This window comes from Homo sapiens, chromosome 8 (genome assembly GCF_000001405.40).
Source record: "Homo sapiens chromosome 8, GRCh38.p14 Primary Assembly".
Classification (NCBI taxonomy): Eukaryota; Metazoa; Chordata; class Mammalia; order Primates; family Hominidae; genus Homo; species Homo sapiens.
Window position 1 is genome coordinate 28223834 of NC_000008.11, and position 7358 is coordinate 28231191.

At 43.6% G+C, this 7358-nt stretch overlaps 1 pseudogene; it reads left to right on the forward strand.

Annotated features, from left to right (window-relative positions):
• Positions 2053-2795, forward strand: LOC100131127 (delta 4-desaturase, sphingolipid 1 pseudogene; annotated as a pseudogene).

Consider the following 7358-nt stretch of genomic DNA (forward strand, 5'->3'; position numbering starts at 1 on the left):
GCTCTGATTTTGGTTATTTCTTGTTTTCTATCTAGTTTTGGGGTTGATTTGCATTTGTTTCTATAGTTCCTCTAGGCACATTGTTTGGTTGTTAATTTGATATATTTCTAACTTTTTGATGTGGGTATTTAGTGCTATAAACTTTCCTCTTAACACTGCTTTAGCTGTGTCACAGAGATTCTGTTATGTTATATCTTGTTCTTATTCATTTCAAAGAACGTCTTGATTTCTGCCCTAATTTCATTGTTTACCCAAAAGTCATTCAGGAGCAGGTTATTTGATTACCATGTAATTGTATGATTTTGAATGATTTTCTTAGTATTAATTTCTACTTTTATTATGCTGTGGTCTGAGAGTATGTTTGGTATGATTTCGGGTTCTTTGAATTAGTTGAGAAATGTTTTACGGACAATTGTGTGGTTGATTTTATAATATGTGCCATATGCAGATAAGAAGAATGTATATTCTATTGTTTTGGGAGACACACAGAGGGAAGATCATGTGAAGACCCAGGGAGAAGGTGGCTGTCTACAAGCCAAGGAGAGGCCTCAGAAGAAACCAAACCTGCTGACACCTTGATCTTGGACTTCTAGCCTTTAGAATGTGAAACAATACATTCTGTTGTTTAAAGTCTCTGTGCTTGTTACAGTCTCTGTACTTTGTTATGGTAACCCTAGCAGATTAACACACTAGTCATTTGGGTCTCTGTGGGAATCCTTCTGTCATCGGAACAAGATAAAATCCTCAGCCCATGAGGAACATTCTGACAGTGCTGACGCAGGAAACAAAAACAATGTTGTGGCCCAACTGCAGCGTCGTGAGGAACAGGATTACAGCTAGCAAACGTTGTCTGACCTTCAGAGGTTGGTCAACTTATTTCCCTTTAAAATATTTATTTGGGAATATAGTTTGATTTTCTTTTCTTTGCCCTCCAGGTATTTTCATAGGAATAACTTTCATTTGTATTCTATAGTTTACTCAGATAATTGAAAGAGGTGTTTCAATCAGGTATTTAGCTGCAAGAGTATAGTTCATTTCACTACTAAGTATAATTTAAAGCTGCAGTCACATAAAATCTCTTTGGGGTTACTTTTGGTGTTTGCTTTTTGTTTTTGTGACAAGGTCTCACTCTGTCACCCAGGCTGGAGTGCAGCGGCAAGACCATAGCTCACTGCAGCCTCCATCTCTCAGGCTCAAGTGATCTTCCTGCCTCAGCTTCCTGAGTAGCTGGGACTACAAATATGCACCACACCCCACTAATTTTCTTTTTTTTTTTTTAGTAGAGACAAGGTCTCACTATGTTGCTCAGGCTGGTCTTGAATTCCTGAGTTCAAGCCATCCTTCCACCTTGGTCTCCCAGATTGCTGGGAATACAGGTGTGAGCTACCTGCACCTGGCCAAAATCTCTTTTTGGAATGAAATGTAGCCAAAAATGTGTTTGTAAATGCCCAGTAGAGCTTGTATAAAGACCTTGATCAGAGCACACAAATGTGTTTTACACAAAGATCCATGCTGTTGCCACCACACTTAGCCTGAGCCAGCACCCATGAGGATCAAACATCACCTGGAGCCAGTAAATGGGAAGCTCTGTTTATTTTAGGGCTTTCTGAAATTATCATCATTAGGGAGAACAGGCAAAATAATTTAGTGATTTTCCCCATATGAAACTCACAAAGAAAAACAAATGTACTCAGCAGGCATCTTTCTCCTTTCTGTTCCCAAGGCTGGAAAATTCTGTATTGGGGCACATTTTGGAACACTTACAGGTTTTTTGTACTGTAATGGCATTACACATTTGATTCAGCAGCTAAAGGAATGTGACCTGGCCTTTACTTCCTAAATTTCCGTGCCTTAGGGGTTTTGTAGGTGTCAAAGTAGAAGATGGAACCACTGCACAAAATCCAGAACTTCAGCAACGGTTCTAACACCTTTTACTAAAGCCCATCTTGGCATCATCAGCTCAGCTGTGTACAGGGACATTGAACATCTCGAGTACAATTGGATATGAAAATGCATGCTTATATTTAATAGAACTCATGATGCATTGAAACAACATCTAATCGGAAGCCGTGAGCCACCACTCTCATAGGGAACCATGTCACAAAGAAGACTTCTATAGGGTCTATACCCACAGCCCATATTAATTGGTGCCAGGAGATCCTGGCAAGGTACCCAGAGATAAAATCCTAAATGAAACCTGATCCCAACCTGATGTGAACTGTAATTACGATGGTTCAAACCCAGTTGGTTGTGTTTTATTTAGTAAAAGAGTTGGACTGGAAATGGGTCATATTTTGAGCAAATGCCTTTGATAGCTACATTAACCACTCTATGACTCTGGCTATTCATGAGGTTTCCCAAAATAACACCTTTGGCAACTACAAAGCTATGTGGAATCGTGGTTTAAAATGCTTGCTAGTCTTCCTATTGGGGTTCTACATTTGATTTCCATTAAGAGGTATCACATGGAACAATCACTGATAGCTCAGAGGTGATGGCATTGATGTAGATATTCCTACTGATTAAGGGCTGGCCATTTGTACCATTTTCAGATAGTTAATATGAGTTATTCTTCAGCCTCTCTTTTATGCCTTTCAACCTCTGTTCATGCAACCCAAACCAATTTCTTATCTAAAAATTATCAATACTGTGACCCAGGTCACTTTTGACACAACTTACTGTGTTTGGGAATTCAATCTTTAGTTTACACATTACTAGTATCCTTACCTGTTCTAGATTTGCATCTGATTTCTGGACATCTTATAGCTGAACTTTACATATTCTTAAAGGGACATTGGGAGTGACAGGAGGTAGTCAAATGCCTAGGCAGATGGGGCGGGTCCCCAGTGAAACCCCAACTCCAAAGCTAAAGACAGTTTAAAGCCTGAAAATCAAGCTACAAGTCAAATCCATGGACCGGATTGAGAACCAGTCTTCACATTTGGCATGCTTTCCTCTGATTAATCCCTACCATCTCATAATTGGTCTTCCACACTGCTGTGCCCACCTTTGAGTGGTGCCCTTGCTTCAGCCTTTCTTTGCATACTCACAAACCAATCAGCATGCACTCCCCTATTCTGAGCCCATAAAAGCCCCGGACTCAGCCACACTGAGAAAGAAACCACCTGATTGTGGGGATAGGGGACCACCCCCACATTCCCTCTCTGCTGAGAGCTGTTCCATTGTTCAATAAAATTCTTCTCCACCCTCCTCACCCTTCAGTTGTCTGCGTATCTTCTCCTCCTTCTTGGATGCGGGACAAGAGCTCAGGAACTCCTGAATGCAGATACAAGCTATAACACAGGCAGCCTAGGGCACCACACCCAGTCCGGCCAGGGGCTGAGCCAGTGCACAAGCCAGAGCCAGCCTGGGTGGGCTGAGTCGGGGGTGTCTCCTACAGCAGGTAGCGTGCCCCAGCAAGGCCCAGGTAGGGGCGTTGCTAGCCAGAGGTCCCCAGCTGACAAAATGACCAAGAAAATTCCCACAACAACATAAAACATACTGGTATCGTGGGCCCCTGAATTTACTTACCCTCAGTGTGGTTTCTCAGAATGAACATCAAGATTTCCCCAAAATTCCTGGAAGGAGCCTTTTACTAGTGAGGAAGATGACAACTTCCTCCATGACAATTCCTGGATAAAAGAACTGTATGATTTTACGTGGGGTGATACAATAAGTCTTTCCTTGAGAAGGAAGGTCCATCAGAAAGGGGAGGTAGTACTAGAGTCAATGCCATTAGAACCAAAGGAATTTTTCTCAGAAACTTTAAAATAGCTGATAAGGTGAAATTTTTGCATTATTAAAATAAGACCAGTGATACTTAGAAACCACCTTGGTACAATTTCCAAGTAGGATCTCCATGGTATTAAGAAGCTAATTTGACTTTAAGCAGCCAGTCTATCTCTGTAGTGTTCAGCTTTGCTCCCAGGAGACTGGTTCATTATATTGTCATTACTGAGGATTTTTTTTTTCACCTACATCTGTCATTTTGTAAGCATATCATTAAAAATGCTTTTTAAAAGCTACTACCAGCTGGGCATGGTGGCTCATGCTTGTAATCCCAGCACTTTGGGAGGCCAAGGCAGGCAGATCACAAGGTCAAGAGATTGAGACCATCCTGGCTAACATGGTGAAACCCTGTCTCTACTAAAAATACAAAAATTCTGGGCATGGTGGTGTGAGCCTGTGGTCCCAGCTACTTGGGAGGCTGAGGCAGGAGAATCGCTTGAACCCAGGAGGCAGAGGTTGCAGTGAGCTGAGATCACACCACTGCACTCCAGCCTGGCAACAGAGCAAGACTCCATCTCCAAAAAAAAAAAAAGCTACTTCCAGTATATTATTTTCACTATAAAGTTGTCTTTTATTAAAACAGCTAATAAACTAAGCTATTAATCACACTGATAGTATTTAGCATGTTTTTGTATTTGATTGTCTTTATATCAGGAGATACCTGGGTATTGAGGTGAGCTTGCTTTAAAATTTCACCACCAAAAAAAGCAGCCCTGGGTGATCATAGTATAAAAGGATGAAATAGAAGTATCACTACAAGCTGGATTACTCATTTTTAATTTTTACTATTGTACCTAAATTAGGCACTGATTTACCTGAATTAGTGCTGAATCCTATACAGTCTTACTCATACTTATTGAATTTTTTTAAATGTACTCTCAAAAGCTAAATTATGTTACACACAATTGTAATTGTGTAGAAAGTATATACATGTCTAACCAAGATGCCGAGACTTTTTATATGGCTGTGTTGGAGGCCATACATAGTAAATGTGTGTTTTCCACTGTAAGTAACAGCAACAAATTTAATTCTTAATAAAATGTCAGATTCATTCTTGTACCTGTTTTTTCTTTGATGGTGATAATTGGCCTTCAATTCAGCTTCAGCTGGATGTTAAATGTTAACATTTAGCCATTTGGAGATCAACTGCTATGAATATTCAGCATACCTCAGTGGAGGCCACTTAACCCAAGTCCCCACACTCCTCCAAAGTTAATTTAGAGCAGCTGAGACTTCCTTCATAAGTCAGGCACTACAGAGCTAGATGCTGAAAGGGGTCTAAATCCCTGAGTTCTCGCCTCCACTTTCCCCAGGGTACCCACAGAGAACAGGATTTATGAGGACCCTGCAGGGAGAGGCCATGTTTCTCTCCCCGCCACCACCCCCGCAACCAGCAAGGCATGTTGGCCAAGAACCTGCGCTAGTGCAGAGATGGATGCTCGGCTTTAGAGACCCAGACACACCAGCGAAAGCAAAGCCTGTCAACATTAAAGTGAGCAGAACTGGATCTTAGCCACCGTGGGGAGAAATCTGCGGGGCACACTGGAATTGGCTTAATATGCTTTTAAAGTTTCTGAAATGGGACACTTTTGTTTCTCAGAGGACTCATGTGCTTAGGTGGGCAATTTCCCCCACAAAATAAAATCAAGAATAAATAAACTTCAGACACCAACAGAACCTTCTGTGTCTCTTCCTCAGTTAAGACAATAAAACTTGATCAAGGTGAAAGAAATGGTTTGACTCGCAGTGTTGGCAGAACGAAAGGGACATTGTTAAGGAATATTTATTTTTGGTTTTGCCTTTCCTATCGTTACTTCAGCCTGTGACCCTTTGCTTTTCAGGCCAGGAAGTTCCAGGCTGACATTGCCCCAAAAGGAAAGAGGTCAGGGAGAAACTGAAGGAGGGAAAAAAAAAACAAAAAATTACCTTTAGGTATCAAAAGCCCCAGCACAAATGCTGCTTCCAAGGGGATTTATCCTCTATGCTGAAAGAATCAACGACTGGACAAAATATATGGGAAGTGGTTTTCAGGAGATTGGCAGTAAAGTGGTGAAGGACTTGATCCCTGAGAGATGAGAAGCAAACAGAGCCAGCCTGTGATGGCCTCGGGCAAGGCCTGGGGAGGGTGTCCAGGAGAGAGTCGCATGACAACAGAAGGAACCTGGTAAACCCCTTAAGCTGGGGAGATAGATTCCAGACTCTGGAGGGACCAAGGAGGCTGGAGTTTGAAGGAGAGAACTGTACAGCAGGAGAACTCTGGATTTCAGTATTCAGCACGCACTAGTCAATACACACCTGTGATGAAACTATCCAGGGCTGGGGGGAAGACCCACTGAGAGGATTAGAGGGAACAGAGGCCAGGATCACACAGGGCCGGGAATAGTGCCAGGATCAATAACAACTTAGACATAAAAGCTTGACAGTGATCCTTTCAGATGATGGGTACCCCAGTGCATTTCCATTTTGAATGGAAACTGTGATATGGTGCTAGACCCAAAGGGAAGGATTCATGACCTGGAGTCAAGGGGTGTCCCGTGTGCCGTCCCTCTCAGTGGCCAGTGAGGAATTTATGTTTTCTGTTCTCACAACTCTGGGCTCTGCAACTCATAGTTCCCAGATGGAGAACTCTTCTTCCAGTGGACACAGCAACTTCCATTGAAGTTTAAGCTGTGACTGCCTCCTGGGTACTTCAGCATCTCGTGCCAAGGGACCAGCAGGCAACAAGGAGAGATACTAACCCAGCAGGGCTAATTGACCCTGGTCATCAGGAGGAGGTAGGGCTGCTGTGACAAAATGGGGGTAGGACGGGTCCACTTGGTCACCTCTCAGCACTCCCCTATCCAGTTTGACAGCAAATGGACCAGGAATGGCAGGAGTGTCAGCCTGAGCAGAGAGTGGTGCTCAGGATTCAGACTGCCTCAGAGGTAACAGCCTGTGTTAGGTCACATGTTAACCGCCAGGACCATCAAAGGTGCTAGCCGAGGCGGAAAGGGATCCTGAATGGAGATTGGAAGAGGGAGATGAGTCCTTGGGTAGCCAGGAGACCAGCTGCAGAGGTGAGCACTGCAGCTCATTCCACAAACCCTCCTCTTCCACATTTCCCCCAGGAAGAACAGGGGCACTGGCATCCTGCAGTAGCTGCTCCCAGAACACAAGATAAAGAAGCAAATCCAAACAGCATGACAATACAGTGTGGTGAACACAGGGATGTACCGCCCAGATCCACTGCTGCCAGGGGCTGTTAGCAGATGGCCTCCAGCTGTCAGCCCCTTAAGGGATTGCCCCAAGACAGAGAGCTGCCTTGCCAAGATCACATCAGTTCTCAGGGCAACCCAACGTGGGACAACTCCGAAGGGTCATCCTAGCTCCAGAGCTCCCGTGGGGTGGGCAAAGGCTGTCACTGGGCCTGCATCACAGTTGGACGCCTTCCTGCTCCTTCTGCAGGAGCTGATCCCAAGGACACTCCTTGGCCAACATGCTACATTTCATACTCTGCTTCCCAAGAAGGCAAACTGCAATGCTAAGATCACCCATTAGGAAGTAAAAAGTAGAGGAGGTGGTTTTCAATG